We start from the raw sequence: 15,831 nt of genomic DNA, 5'->3' as shown, positions 1-15,831 counted from the left end.
GCAACAGAATTGAGCGCAAGTGGGAGCTTTGCTCAGGCAACATTGGATTCGTGAATTGAGAGGGTAGATATGCATAGGATAGAGCTCTTGTTCACAAGTAGGTTGGGTTTTACAAACAGCACTGAGCTTATGGAATGAGAATTCTATGCCAGAAATTTCCCCTCCTCTTTTACAGGGTGGGATTGATGCTGAGTGGGTACATGTGCTTTCTCCAGGGTCACAGAGCTGCTGCTTAATGTCAAAGTGAGATCCCCAGCCCCTTCTCTTTCCACTGCACCATGCTGTTTCCTTAGCGTTAGGGGCCACTAGAAAAGAATCAATTCTGAGAGCAGAAATATTTTGCTTCTAAACAAAAAAAATGAGGCTTATCCAAAACATGTAATTTAAAAGACCAGCTCCTTTAAAACAGAATTTTCCATGATGCCCTGTGTACTTATGTGTCACACAAACACACACACACAGACAGACACACACAAACTGTTTTCAAGTTGAGAGAATCCACGGAAGCATCTTCCTTTTAACAAAATTGAGTCACGGTAAAATTATTGTTATTATTATTATTTTATTATTATTATTTTTTTTGAGACAGAGTCTTGCCCTATCACCCAGGCTGGAGTGCAATGGCCTGATCTCGGCTTGTGCCTCAGCCTCCCGAGTAGCTGGGATTACAGGCATGTGCCACCACACCTAGCTAATGTTTGTATTTTTAGTAGAGATGGGGTTTTGCCATGTTGGCCAGGCTGGTCTCAAACTCGTGGCCTCAAGTGATCTGCCCGCCTCGGCTTCCCAAAGTGCTGGGATTACAGGTGTGAGCCACCGTGCCCGGTCTTGTCAAGGTAAGGTTAAATTAAAATTTTTTTACAGGGTTCCCAGGCTCAGGATTAGCTCCCTCAGCTTCTTTCCTGGGAAGCCACTTCTCCTTCCAATGACAGTCCCCTGGACCCTGCATCACACCTGCACAGGGGCTCCTCAGGCTGCTGGGTGATGTTGCTCAGCTCCACTCCATGGCCATCTTGGCTCCCGTAGAAGCTAAGGAGAACAGGAGGATCCTACAGAAAAATTCTGATGAGGACAGGGAGGGCAGCTGCTTGGGGGCCTGGGCCTGGTGTGCAGGTGGAGCAGGCCTGAGCAGATACTGGGGATGGGGAGTGAGGCTAACGCAGCCTCACGTAGCCTGGACCAACTCCCAGCAGGCTCACTCAGCCTCATGATCTCCTTTCTTAATCCAATAAATGACCACTTGCCTAAATTTGAAAAGGTGCCATAATATTATTTTATCCACAATATCCTGTCCTCAGGCATTTAAGTTCATGAACTTCCTCCTCAAAACTAATTTCTGTCCAATAAGACTCTTCCAATATCGATCTTGAATCACTAACATTTTAAGCCTCTGAGACGTTATTGTCTCTTCATTCTCCTCCTTCTTGCCAAATGGACATTATCTCAACTCTCTTGGTTCCTTGGCCCACTCTTGCTTCTCTCACTGATGCCATGGCATCCATCTATCCACATCTCTGCCTTTATGTAGAATAGTCTCTTCTCCTGGCTTTAATCAGGTAAGACTCCATCTTCTCACATCTGAATCTTTGCTTAGAGTTCAAAAAAATCAGATTCCTCGTGCTTTGGAATAGAGCAGTGGTGGGGAAAGTACTGATTCTAGGTCCCCTTGCTGGATAGGGATGCAGGGAAGCTGGAGGGACCTGGAGTCCCAGTACCCTAGGGACAGGGGCTGTTGTCTTAGCAGCACAACTCCCCTCTTTCAACATAGGCATCAGAGATTCCTTGGGTAACTTCATTTTCCTTGTTCAGGCTACTCTTCTTACCATGTCTCACTGATAATAAAAGATTAGGCTTTTGTAGGAGACCCATATTGTGATTTTTTCTTGGGCACTCCCACAATCTCTACAAACATCAAGGAAACAGGTCTCTCCTAGGTACTTTTTTTGAGGGTATTGGAGCATCGGCCAAGTATAAAATATCCAACAATACTGCAGTACATTTCTGGAAACCACATGGAAAATCCTAAAACTGGTCTTACCCGTGGGATCTGTGTTATAATTGGATGTTGCATTCTTGACCAAAGACTTGGCATCAGATAAATCACAGATACTAAATATGTCATAGAGGCAAAGATTCACAAAGATTCACAGTTTAAATCAGTAGTTCTCAACCCTGGCTGAGCCTTAGGATCGTCAAAAAATATTTTTTCAAATACCAATGCCTGCACATCATTTGGGACCAGTTAAAGCCAAATCTCTATGGGTGGGGACAAATAACCAATTTTTTTGTTGTTGTTTATTAAGAGCCAGGACCAAAAGAAAGACATAGTTGTCATTTGGCACTTTAAAAAATTAAAAGAGCCACTTGAAAGTAAGTGAAAAGATTTACTGATTCTCCAGATGGAAATTCAGAGATCCCACATTTGATGAACGCGCCATCTCATATGGTGGTGAGACAGGGCATGTGGCACGTGCTGTCCACCAGCACATGAACTAGTGCCCCTGGGTGCAATGTTCGAAGGCTAATGACCAGTGAGTTAATACATATTTACAAAGATTTCATGATGAGCATAATGTCTCTGTACTGGGGACTGGTTTAGGAGTCTTTGGAAAAAAATAGGCATAGTCCCTGTTCTCAAGCATTGTTCAGGGAGACAAGAACACAGTGATTCTGAAGTTAGGCTTCCAGCAATTTAGCAACATAGAAACATTGCCCTTTGCTGACAGTAGCATTTGTATCTGAAATTATCTCAACCAGATAGATCCAATTGTTTAAAAGTTTTGAAAATCTGCAGCTATATTCCAGGATTCCTCCCTTCCCTTAGTAGAAGGTTGGAGAGAGCCGATCCACGGAAGGAAAGCCTTGGGCTCACTCACACACTGGGCCTCCTCTAGAGACACCCAGTGCAGAGAGGAAGGCAGTCCCGCAGGGCCAGCCACCCAGAGGCCCCAGGGAAAGACTGTCCCTGCACATTTCTCACCAGGTTTATGTAAGTAAAGAGGAGGATAAATCCTGCCAATCCAGGAGGTTGGTTTCTATTTCTGATTCCAGTTCTTTGCCATGAATTATATGATTAGAAGCAGGGCATTTCATGATGCCTCAGTATTTCCATTTAAAAAAGAAGAATAGTGTCTATTCTTTACCTATAGAAACAAATACCTTACAGATAAATTAAATTCTGTTCAAAGGTATCTGAGCATTATTATGAATTTTTTTTCTGATTTTTAGTCTGACATGTTTACTAAAGAGAACTCAGAAATTACAGAGAAATAGTTATATATGAAAACAAAACTCACTCATAATCACACTCATAATTCCATAATAATTTTAAACACAAGAAAACACAAAGACATTCTCTATGTGTGGTTTTATACCTGTTTATACAATGATTAAGATTATATAATGAACATTCCTGTGTATCTTAAAATAGTGCTTAAAACAGATTATTTCATGACTGTGTGACAGCCTGCTTTATGGCACTGCCATGATTTGTTTATTGATTGTGAGATACACAACATAAATATTTTTTAAATTTAAGGGAAGGTTAATAATCTAAGAAATTTTGATTAACTATTATTTATAATAATCCATTTGGAGATTTTAAAAGTATATGGACATCAGTTGGAAATAATCTCAGAAGCACAGAAAATGAGATTTAAAAAACAATCAAGAGCAATTTTATTTTTAAAGGTCAATTCACTTATAAGAGACTCAGAGAACATGCAATAATTGCCTGTAACTACATTTCCATTGACTTCTGAGTGGTAATTTTATCTTTAACACCCCCTGCTGGTTTGCCTTATGGTTTTAGTGTTATCACTTTCTTTTTTTTTTAATTGTAATTTCATTAGAAGTCTGACATTTTTCCCGTCCTATTCTCTTTGTTCTCTCCCTCAAAAAATAAAGTGAGAGGGGTATGAGCAAAGGAAAAACAGAACAATCGATTATTACTTTATAGAAATTCACCCCTCACAACTCCAGCCACCATATGTAAAGGAAATAGGCTAGAGAAGCACAAAAGAATGAGGAGATATACTCAGGCTTTCTTTTAAGAACTTTATAACTTGTTGCATTACTCATTTATTCAAGGCCATTGCCATAGACTCTATGTCTCATATTACTCCACAGTAATTATCTGAAAGATAAACCCAGGAATGTGTAGATTCACAGGTCAGGGCCAATGTATGGTCATCCTTTTTTTTTTTCCTAGGGTTACAGGCAGATCAATTCAAAGCACTGCTTGAGATGGCACTTACCTGAACAGTTGTTTGTTCCACAAAAGCACCTTATAGTAAGTTTCTATCCTCTCATTTTACTTCCTACCACAAAGATCCTCTAATGCCCATGTGTGATGTAAAAAAATCAAGAAACAGCTATTACCTCATTTCTGATAGATCTGGACTCCCTTTTTGCATTCAAATAGCATTTATTGAATGTCCATTCTGTGCTTAGCACTGATCGAGGCACATGAACAAGATAGGCCATGTCCCTGTTCCTCCAGAGTTTCCAGCCTAGTGGAAGAAATAAATAACAGCAAAGGAAACAAACAAACAAACAAATAAGCAAGATAATACAACATAGTTATCAGCTCAAAGAGAACCATGAAGCAGGTGGTGGTGGTATGATAGAGTAACTAGGGAGGAGGTGGGGCTGTGTGGGGAATATTTTTGTTAGTGTGGTCAGTGAGGGCTGCTATTGAAGAGGTGCCCAGTCATTTACCTTCAGTCTTTCAACAAGAGTGCTGCAAGCTTCATTCTTCAAATCCTCTTCCTGCCATGACTCTCATGGCTTAGTCTAATGCCTTTCCTCTATCCTTTCTGCTTTCGGATCCTGGGAAGTGTTTGCAAGGGCTCCACACCCCCAGCATTTCTCATGATAGCCTACTTCTCACAAATCTACATTCACTTTATAATCATCTTTAATCCCAGTATCTCCATTATGGAAACATGAGATGAGATTGGAAATAAAAGGGATTCCTATTTGTTTCAACTATATTTTAAAATGTGCTTATTTGCATATGAATACAGATAATTCTATTGTGCTATTTGGGATTCTGCTAAAATCATCTCTTTGCAGAGGAAAAGTATTGCAACACCCACAGTAGCTTTCACTCTCACACAAAAGACCAGATTTCCAGAGAAAATGTTTCTTGGGCTGCTTTAGGAAGTCCAGGGCCAGTGATGGTCTTCAGGGTGGTGGGAACTTTTCTTTTCAGCCGCAACTGATGAACGTACATGTTATCTGGAGACAAGATTATAAATTTTCTTTGATGTCTTTGACTGAAGTAACTTTGGTAATAATGTTTAACCACTGGAAAACAGTTTTTGAAGTTATAATGCTTTCCTGCCATTACTCTTCTTTGGCTGTAGCTGATTTAAGCATTTCTTGCCTTTAGATTCAAATAGCAGGGCATTGGTTCCACATGTCAAATTCTGTGCATGATAAATCTATTTTCTCTTTGAATTTTTGTGACAACCTCATTAATCATGTGTTAGGAATGAGGAAGCTGAGATTCAGAGGGATTATGGCCTGGCTCAGAGTCAGAGGTACAGAAAAGATTTCACTCAAGTCTTTTGATTTCAGTTCAGCTGTGTACCTCTCAGGCTATAGCTGTCTCCTGTCTATGTGTATATAGCACTGAACTAAGTCTTTAGGAAAGTAATATGAAATTTAGTATTCAGGTAATCATCTTAATGAAGATTCCAGTTTTATTGGGACCACTAGTTACCAATGGAACAAGATGTTGAATATGTGCATGAATATATAGATATTAAATATGATTACAAACAAGAGGGCATATCCCTCAGGTGTTGGCTCCCTCTTCTCATATGCAGCCCTGAAGACACCACAGGGTACAAATATCAAATATAGCATGAATTTATAAAATTATATATAAAGATATAATTTACTGAAGCAACAAGAGTGTCTGGTATTATAGTAATAAAGAATGTATGAATTTTTACTGAGAAAAACATTTTAGCTCTATTGCTCTATTAAAAGAAAAAAGAAAAGACCTAAATAAATGACTAGGGCAATTTATTGTTGCTATTATGTCATTTGTCTCCAGATTGTTTTATGTATTTCATGACAATTCCAATCAAAATCACAGTAGGAATTTCTGAAATTATGGTAAACTGATTTTAAATTTTATAAGAAAGCATAAAGGCTCTTGAGTAACTAAGCAATTTTGAAAAAGAACAAAAGAATAGAACCATTTTACTAGAAAATGAGATTTGAGAAAGACATAGTAACTGATGTTATAAAGTTTAGGTGCAGAATAAGCAAAGAGACGAAAGGGAAAAATGAAAAGTCCCCAAATCAAACTGTGCATCTGTGAAAAATAAGTAATGATGGGGACAGCTTGACAAGTGCATAGCAAAAGAAAAGGCCAATTTAGAAAATACTTCAGAGAAAAGTATTACTATAGGGAGAAAAATACAGTTGAATCCCTATATTGACCCATTTAAAAAAAAAGCTCAAAATGGAGTAATTTCAAAATGTGAAAGGAAACCTGTAAAGTGAATAGAAGAAAATGTAGGGGAATATCTGTTTGCCCTTGGGTGGTAGAAAAATTATTAAATAAAGCCTCATATGCTCAAGCTGTCAAGAAATAAATTGACGAATTGTACACTAATCAAAAATGAAAGACTTGTGTTCAATGAAGGGCATCGTGAACAAAGTTAACAGTGACAAGTGACTGGTGACATTCTAGAAGTCTTTGCAATGCCTAAAACTTTAAAGGTATCAATAGCTAGAATGTACCAGAGATTAATGCAGGTCAGCAATAATAAAGATAGAAAAAAGTGATAGAAAAAAAGACGATGCGGATAGGCAATTCACAGAAGGGGAATCCTGAGTGGTTTATAATCTCCTGAAGACATAGATACTCAACCTAACCATCAATCAGAGAACAGCACAACAGAGCACTATTGAGATGGTACTTCAAATCCATCAGATTGGCAAAATCTACACAATCAGACAACACCAAGGGCTATTGAGTATAAGTTGGAACAAAACCTTTGCCCTGCTGGTGTGGGAAGGTAAATTACTATAGCTCTTCCAGAAAGCAATATAGCAATTTTTATAGAAATCTTGTATGCATGATCCTATGACTCAGCAATCTCCTTTCTGAGTACATGCCTCAGAGAAACTGTCCATAGTGGAAACTGAGGTGGATGGATCACTTGAGGCCAGGAGACCAGCCTGGCCAACATGGCGAAACACTGTCACTACTAGAATAGAAACAACTAGCTGGACATGGTGGCACATGCCTGTAGTCCCAGCTACTTGGGAGGCTGAGGTGGGAGAATAGCTTAAACCTGGGAGGCAGAGGTGGCAGTGAGCCAAGATCACACCGCTGTGCTCCAGCCTGGGTGACAGAGCAAGACCCTGTCTCAAAAAAAGAAAAGAAAATTTCTCTCTATGGACAGTTTCCCTGATCCTCATATAAAACAGTAAGTACAGTAAATTTGCAAGGAGGTTCATGAAAGAGTTTTTCAGGATGAGGGTCCATCCTGAAGTACATAGATGATGTTTGGTGTGTGCATTTGACAGAAAAGGGTGCAGCAGGCAGAAGTATTAAATTAGATCGACATGTAACACACAGATATCTCTCAAAAACACGATGTTGAAGGAATTAAAGTTAGAAATCAAGTAAGATTTCTAGCACAATGTAATTTATGTAATTTAAAAGCAAAGACATATAAAGACTTTCTTATGGTATACATTTATCTAAACAAACATTTGCAATTTGGACTGGAAGGACACACATTAAATACAGTAGAGTGGGTGCTGGAGAAGGGAGAGAAGTGAGAACTGAGGCTGTAGGGTGAAAAGGAGAAAATAAAACAAAAAGGGGCCCTGCACAAAATAGGAAGGATATGACGTGGACCTAAGAGAATGAGTGATTCAGTACTGCATGGAAACTTCCCAGGAGGGGAAAGGTCAGAGTGGTTTGGGAATATCCAAAAGGCTTTTCAAAAAAGAGTTGGAATATGAATAGTTATGGGTAAAGTAATTAGTACATAAAGATGATGGTTAATAACGTCCAGAATGTCCAGAATAAATGTCTCACTGAGAGTGAAATTAGAAAGAATCAAAATGCAATAGAAAATCCTACATAGACATGTCTACATTTTTCAGTAACATTGTATATACTTTCTTTTCTCATCAATCTTGTTCTTTTAAAACAGAAATCTATTAAAAGTGGCTACTACTATGATGCAAAGCTGAGTGGCAGTGCTTACTTTTAAGAACTTTTCATGTGTGTATTAGAGATACATATGTTGATTATGAAAAATGAAAATATAGTCTTATAAGTCTTCTACTTTAGTTTTATTCTTGACGTGCTTATTTTTAACAACCTTCCTTCCTTCCTCCCTCCCTCCCTCCCTCTCTCTCTCTCTCTGTCTTTCCTTCCTTCCTTCCTTCCTTCCTTCCTTCCTTCCTTCCTTCCTTCCTTCCTTCCTTCCTTCCTTCCTTCCTTTCTTTCTTTCGAGACAGAGTCTCACGCTGTAGCCCAGGCTGGAGTGTAGCAATGATATTGGCTCACTACAACCTCCACCTCCCAGGCCCAGGTGATCCTCCCACCTCAGCCTCTCAGGAAGGTGGGATTATAGGCATGCTCCACCATACCCAGCTAATTTTTTGCGTATTTTGTAGAGATGGGGTTTTGCCATGTTGCCCAGGTTAGTCTCAAACTCCTGGGCTCAAGCTATCCACCTGCCTCACCTTCCCAAAGTGCTAAAATTATAGGCATGAGCCACTGTGCCTAGCCATGAACAAACTCATGCATTGTAATTGAGTCCTTGTGTTGCTTATGGAAAAGTATACATTCATTTTGATTCAGAAAACACACAAGGCTGAGTGTGGTGGCTCACACCTGTAATTCCAGCACTTTGGGAGGCAGAGGTTGGCAGATCACTTGAGCTCAGGTGTTCAAGACCAGCTTGGGCAACATAGCGAAACCCCGTCTCTACAAAAAATATAAAAATTAGCTGGACATGGTGGTGTGCATCTGTAGTCCCTGCTACTTGGGAGGCTGAAGCGGGAGGATTGCTTGGGCCCAGGAGGTCGTGGCTGAAGTGAGCTGTGTTTGTGCCACTGCACTTCAGCCTAGGTGACAGAGTAACACTCTGTCTCAAAAAATAAAACAAAACAAAATAAAATAAACAGAAAACTAAAAATATAATGGTTAAAAATCCACCTTCTTAGTTATTTTGACATCCAAAAGGAAGTTTCAAGGTAGGTAAAATGAGATGACAGAATTAAGATAAAATATTACTTGTACAGATGACAATATGGACCTAAAGTGACAAGATAAAATTCGACAGGGATAAATATTAGCTCCAGCATTTAAATTCAATAAAATCAATAGCCCAAATAGAGAATGAGAGAATTCTGGCTCTACAATTGTCAGTGAGAAAAGGATCCGGGGTGTTTAGTTGACTGCAGGCTTAAGTTGAGCCAATGGTATGTGTCTGCTAAAAAAATTAGCTCAGTATTTCGGCTGCATCAGTGGAAGTGCAGAGAGCAAATCACAGGCAACCACATTTAACTGTACTCTGTGCTGGTCGAGTGTCATCTGGATTATAAGTCCAATAGTAGACATCAAAATCTGTTCAAAAATAATCGTTTTGGTTATAAAAATAACACATGTTGAAAAAGATACACAAATGACCAATAAGCACATGAAAAGATGCTCAATATCATTGGTTATTAGGAAATGCAAATCAAAACCTTAATGAAATACCACTTCACACCCAGTAGAATAAACATAATAAGAAAGATGGGTAATAACAAGCGTCGCCAACAATGTGAAGCAATGGAAAGATACATACCTTGCTGGTGGAACTGTAAAATGGTGCAGCCACTTTGGAAAAACAATTTGGCAGGTTCTTGAAAAATTGAACATAGACTTACCATATGGCTCAGCAATCTTAGCCTCCTAGGTATCTAAGAAATGAAAACACGTTCACACAAAAACTTGCAGCATTATTTACAACACCCCCAAAATGGAAACAACTCAATGCCCATCAACTGACGAATGAATAAATAATGTATATATCCACACAACAGGATACTATTTGACAATAAAAAGGAACAGAGTGCTGATACATGTACTATAATATGGGTGAATTTCAAAAGCAATCTATTCAGTGTAATAAGCTAGACACAAAATGCCGCATGTTGCATTATTTCATTTATATCAAATGTCCAAAATAGGAAAGTATGTGGACACAGAAAGTAGACAAGTGTTTGCCTAGGGCTGGGGTAGGAAAGGGAAGTAATTGAAATGGGAGCAAAGTATCTTTTTAGGGTGATGGAAATGTCTGAAGTTAGATTGTAGTGATAGTTGCACAGCTGTCAATATACTAAAATTCATTGAACCATACACTTGAAATGAGTGAATTTTATGGTATATAAATTATATCTTAATAAAGACGTTAGAAAAAAATAGCACATGTTCATCATAAAAACTCAAGCAACATAAAAAGTTAAGCAAAGAAAACAAACAAAAAAAACAAAGGAAATATAAACAAACAAAATGCCCCAAATTCTATTACCCAGAAATAGCCATGATCAATATCAATATTTAAGGAATATCTATATATCTATGTGTCTCTCTCTATATATATATATCTTTTTAATTTTTTAAATTATTATTATTTTTTTTAAAGATCAAGTCTCACTCTGCTACCCAGGTTGGAGTGCAGTGGTGTGATCTCAGCTCACTGCAACCTCTGTCTCCCAGGTTCAAGCAATTCTCCTGCCTCAGCCTCCCGAGTAGCTGGGATTACAGGTGTCTGTCACCACGCCCAGCTAATTTTTGTATTTTTAGTAGAGATGGGGCTTCACCATGTTGGCCCAGGCTGATGTCAATCTCCTGACCTCTGGTGATCCACTCGCCTCAGGCTCCCAAAGTGCTGGGATTACAGGCATGAGCCACCACACCTGGACATTCTAGATATTTTTAAAATGCACATTGACAGGCACAAACAGAGAGGTAATGAGAGAGAAATGATTTTGCACAATGGTATCATACAATATGTGTTTTTTTCTATTAAATTATTAAAACAAACTTTTCTTGAATTTAATGGAATAGGTGTGTTTTTTTAGGAGATGACTAAGAAAGAAGGCTCCGAAACCAGACTCTTTGTGTTTGTATTCTGGCTCTGCCACTCATTAGCTGTAAGATCGTGGCAAGTTCTTTTACCACTCTATGCCTCAGTTTCCTCATCTACACATAATGCAGTTAATAACATCTATCTCACGGGTTTGTTATAATAATTAATGAAACAATTTATGTACAAAGGTTGGCACGGTGCTTGACACAGAGCAAGCATTCAGTAAGTATTTATTACTGTCATACAGTGATTACTATTGCATCATCTTTAAGGCGGGGAGAGTAGGAAGTCCAGGATGATGAAAATTTAAAATCATGTCATTCAAAGAAATAGTTAATGGTCACTGGAATGGTTCACCTGGAAAGAAGGATAAGGGGAAATATCATGACTTTTTATATTCGAAGGCCAGGCCGGGCATAGTGGCCTGTAATCCCAGCACTTTGGGAGGCCGAGGAGGGCGGATCACCTGAGGTCAGGAGTTTGAGACCAGCCTGACCAACATAGTGAAACCCTGTCTCTACTAAAAATACAAAATTAGCTGGGCATGGTGGTGCATGCCTATAATCCCAGCTACTCGGGAGGCTGAGGCAGGAAAATCTCTCGAACCAGAGAGGCAGAGGTAGCAGTGAGCCGAGATCATGCCATTGCACTCCAGCCTAGGCGACAAAAGTGAAACTCTGTGTCAAAAAAAAAAAAAAAAAAAACTACCATAGTAACCATTAAAACATTTTTTTTTCTTTAATTAATGAGACAGGGTCTTTCTTGGTTGCTCAGGCTGGAAAACAGTGGTAAGATCACAGCTCACTGCAGCCTGGATCTCCCAGGCTGAAGCAATCCTCCCACTTCAGACTCCCAAGTAGCTGACACTACAGGTGTGTACCACCACATCCAGCTGGGTTTTTCTTTTTGTAGAGACACAGTCTCACTGTGTTATCCAGGCTGGTAACGCTTTTTAAGTGAATGGTTAGGTGTTGTTAAGCACATTCACATTGTTGTGCAGCCGTCACCAACATCCATCTTGCAAAACTCTTCATCTTGCAAAACTGAAACTTCATATCTATTAAACAATAACTCCTCATTCTCTCTCTCCCACAGGCGCCTGGCAACATGATTCTACTTTCTGTTTCTACTATTTTGACTACTTTAAATATCACATTTAAATGAAATCATAAAGTATTTGTCTTTTTGTGACTGAGTTACTCAGCAAAATAACCTCAAGTTTCATTCATGCTGTAGCATGTGTCAGACTTGCCTTCCTTTTTAAAGTTGAAAAATATCTCATTGTATGTATATACCACATTTTACTTTTCTATCGATGGACACTTGGGTTGCTTCCACGTTTTAGCTATTGTGAGTAAATCAGCTGTTACATGGATGTACGAATGTCTCTTTCAGACCCTGCTTTCAGTTCTCTTGGATATATAGCCAGAAGTGAAATTAACGAATCATATAGTAATTCTATTTTTAATTTTCTGTGGAACTGCCATACTGTTTTCCACAGTGCTGTATCATCATTTTATATTCCTACCAATAGTGCACATAATTTCCAGTTTCTCCATATCTTTACCAACACTTGTTACTTTTTGTTTCTTTTAATAGTAGTCATCATAATGGATGTGAGGTGGTATCTCACTGTAGTTTTGATTTACTTTTTCCTGATAATTAGTGATTTGAGCATCTTTTCATATGATTATTATCCATTTGTATATGAAATGCTTATATAAGTCCTTTGCCTAATTTTGGTTGAGTTTTTTACTATATTTGTCATATTTTTGTTGTTATTGAGTTTTAGGAGTTTTCTGAATATTAAACCCTTATCAGATACACAATTTGCAAATATTTTCTCCCATTCTGTGGCTTTCCTTTTCACCCTGTTGATATTCTCTTTTGAGTATAAATTTTAAAAAATTTTATGAAGTTCTATTTGTCTATTTTTTCTTCTGTTATTTGTGCCTTTGGTGTCATATTCAAGAATTCATTGCCAAATCCAATGTTGTGAAGTTTTGCCATTTGTGTTTTCTAAGAGTTTTATAGTTTTAGGTCTTAAATTTAGGTCTTTGATCCACTTTGAATTAACTTTTTGATATGATGTCAAGTAATGGTCCAGTTTCTTTTCTTTTCTTTTCTTTTTTGTATTTGGATATCCAGTTTCCCTGGCAGCATTTGTTGAAAAGACTGTACTTTCCCCATTGAATGGTCTTGGCATTGTCAAAAGTAATTTAACCATTTATTCAAGAGTTTATTTCTGGGCTCTTTATTTTTTTTCATTGGTCTATATGTCTGTCTTGTGTCAATATCACGTTGCTTTGATTACTGTAGCTTTGTAGTAGTTTTGAAATCAGAAAGTATGATTCCTCCAGCTCTGTTCTTTTTCCTTAAGATTGTTTCAGCTATTCATGGTCCCTTGAGATGCCATATGAGTTTTTACATGGGGTTTTCCTATTTCTGCAAAAAACATCATTGATATTTTGACAGGGATTGCATTCAATCTGTACATTGCTTTGGGTGATATTGATACCTTAACAATTTTCAATTGCATTGAATCTGTACATTGCTTTGGGTAGTATTGACACCTTAATAATTTTCAATAGCATTGAATTTGTACATTGCTTTGGGTGGTATTGACATCTTTTAATCCATGAACATGAGATGTGTTTCCATTTTTTTATGTCTCCTTTAACTTCTTAATGTTTTGTAGTTTTTATTGTATTAGGCTTTTGTCTTTTTGGTTAAGTTAGTTATTAAGTATTTTATTCTTTTTGATGTTATTATAAATGAAATTATTTTTATAATTTCTTTCTCAGATTATCCATTGTTAGTGTATAAAAATGCAACTAATTTTTATGTGTTGAATTTGTATTTTGCTACTTTGCAAAACACAAATGAATTCATTTATTAGCTCTAACAGTTTGTTTGAATTTTAAGGGTTTTCTACATATAAGGTCATATCATCTGCAAACAGAGATAATTTGACTTCTTCCTTTCCAACTTGGATGTGTATTTCTTTTTCTTGCCTAACTTCTCTGGTTACAACATCCAGTATTATACCCAAAAGTGAGCATCCTTGTCTTGTCTCTGATCTTAGAGGAAAAGCTTTCAGTCTTTCACCATTAAGTGTGATGTTTGTTGCAGGTTTCTCATGTATGGTTTTAACTATGTGGACATAATTTCCTTCTATGCTTAGTTTGTTCAGTGTTTTTATCATGAAAGAATGTTGAATTTTGTCAAATGCATTTTCTGCCTCAATTGAGATAATGATGTGGTTTTTTTTTCACTTCATTATGTTAATGTGGTGTATTGCATTGATTGATTGTTTATGCTGAATCATCCTTGCATTCCAGGAATAAATCCTACTTGGCAATGATCTATTATATGCTTTTAATATGTCTGTTAAATTTAATTTGCTAGTATTTTGTTGAAAATTTTTGCATCAGTGTTCATAAGGAATATTGGTTCATCGTTTTCTTTTCTTGTGGCATCTTTGTCTGGCTTTTGTATTAGCGTAATGCTGGCCTCATAAAATGGGCTAGGAAATGTTCCCTGCTCTTCAGTTTTTTTTTTTTTTCTTTTCGGAAAAGTTTGAAATGAATTGCTACTAGTTCTCTTTAAATGTGTAGTATAATTCACTAGTGAAGTCATTAGGCCCAGGGCTTTCTTGGTCAGAAGATTTTTTGATTACTGATTCGATCTCTTTACCTAGTTATACCTAGTTATAGGTCTACTCTGATTTTCTCTTCCTTTGTGAATTAGCTTTGGTAGGTGCTGTGGTTTGAAACAAACTATAGAAATGATTCCTGAAAGTACAGTTTTTGGGTGCTATGCTTTGAATGTTTGTGTCTCTACCAAAATTCGTGTTGAAACTTAATCCACAAGGGTACAGTACCAAGAGGTGGGGCCTTTAAGAGGTGATTAGGCCATGAGGGCCCTGTCTTCATGGATGGGGTCAGTGCCTTATAGAAGGGATTGAGGAAGCAAGTTCACCATTCTCATACCCTTTTGCTCTTCTAGTCTTCTGCCATGTGAAGACACAGCATTCAAGGTGCCAACTTGAAAGCAAAGACCAGGGCCCTCACCAGACACTGAACCTGCCAGAGCCATGATAGATTTTCCAGCCTCTAATACTGTGAGAAAATAAATTTCTGTTATTTATAAATTACCCAGTCTCAAGTATTTTATTATACAATACAAATGGATGGAGTAGGTTTTGTGTTTCTAAGAATTCATTTTATCTAGGTTGTCCAATTTGTTGGCATACAATTATTTATAATTTTCTCTTATAATCCTTTTCATTTCTATAGAATTGGTAGTAATGTCTCCATTTTTATTTCTGATTTTAGAAATTTGAATCTTCTTTCTTTTTTCTTGGTCTATCTGGTTTGTCAATTTTGTTAATCTTTTCAAAAACCAACTTTTGTTTTTGTTAATTTTCTCTGTTTTTTATTCTCTATTTTATTAATCTCTGTTCTAATATTTATTATTTCCTTCTACTAGCTTTGGGGTTTAGTTTATTCCTTTTTTTTTTTAAGCTCCTTAAGTTGTAAAGTTAGGTTATTGATTTGAATTCCTTCCTTCCTTCCTTCCTTCCTTCCTTCTTCCCTCCCTCTCTCAATCTCTTCCTTCTTTCTCTCTTTCTTTCTCTTTCTTTCTTCTTTCCTCCCTTCCTTCCTTCCTTCCCTTCCCCTTCCTTCCTTCCTTCCCTCCTTCC

Source organism: Homo sapiens, chromosome 1 (genome assembly GCF_000001405.40).
Source record: "Homo sapiens chromosome 1, GRCh38.p14 Primary Assembly".
In the NCBI taxonomy this organism is placed as follows: domain Eukaryota; kingdom Metazoa; phylum Chordata; class Mammalia; order Primates; family Hominidae; genus Homo; species Homo sapiens.
This window is presented reverse-complemented; position numbering follows the sequence as displayed.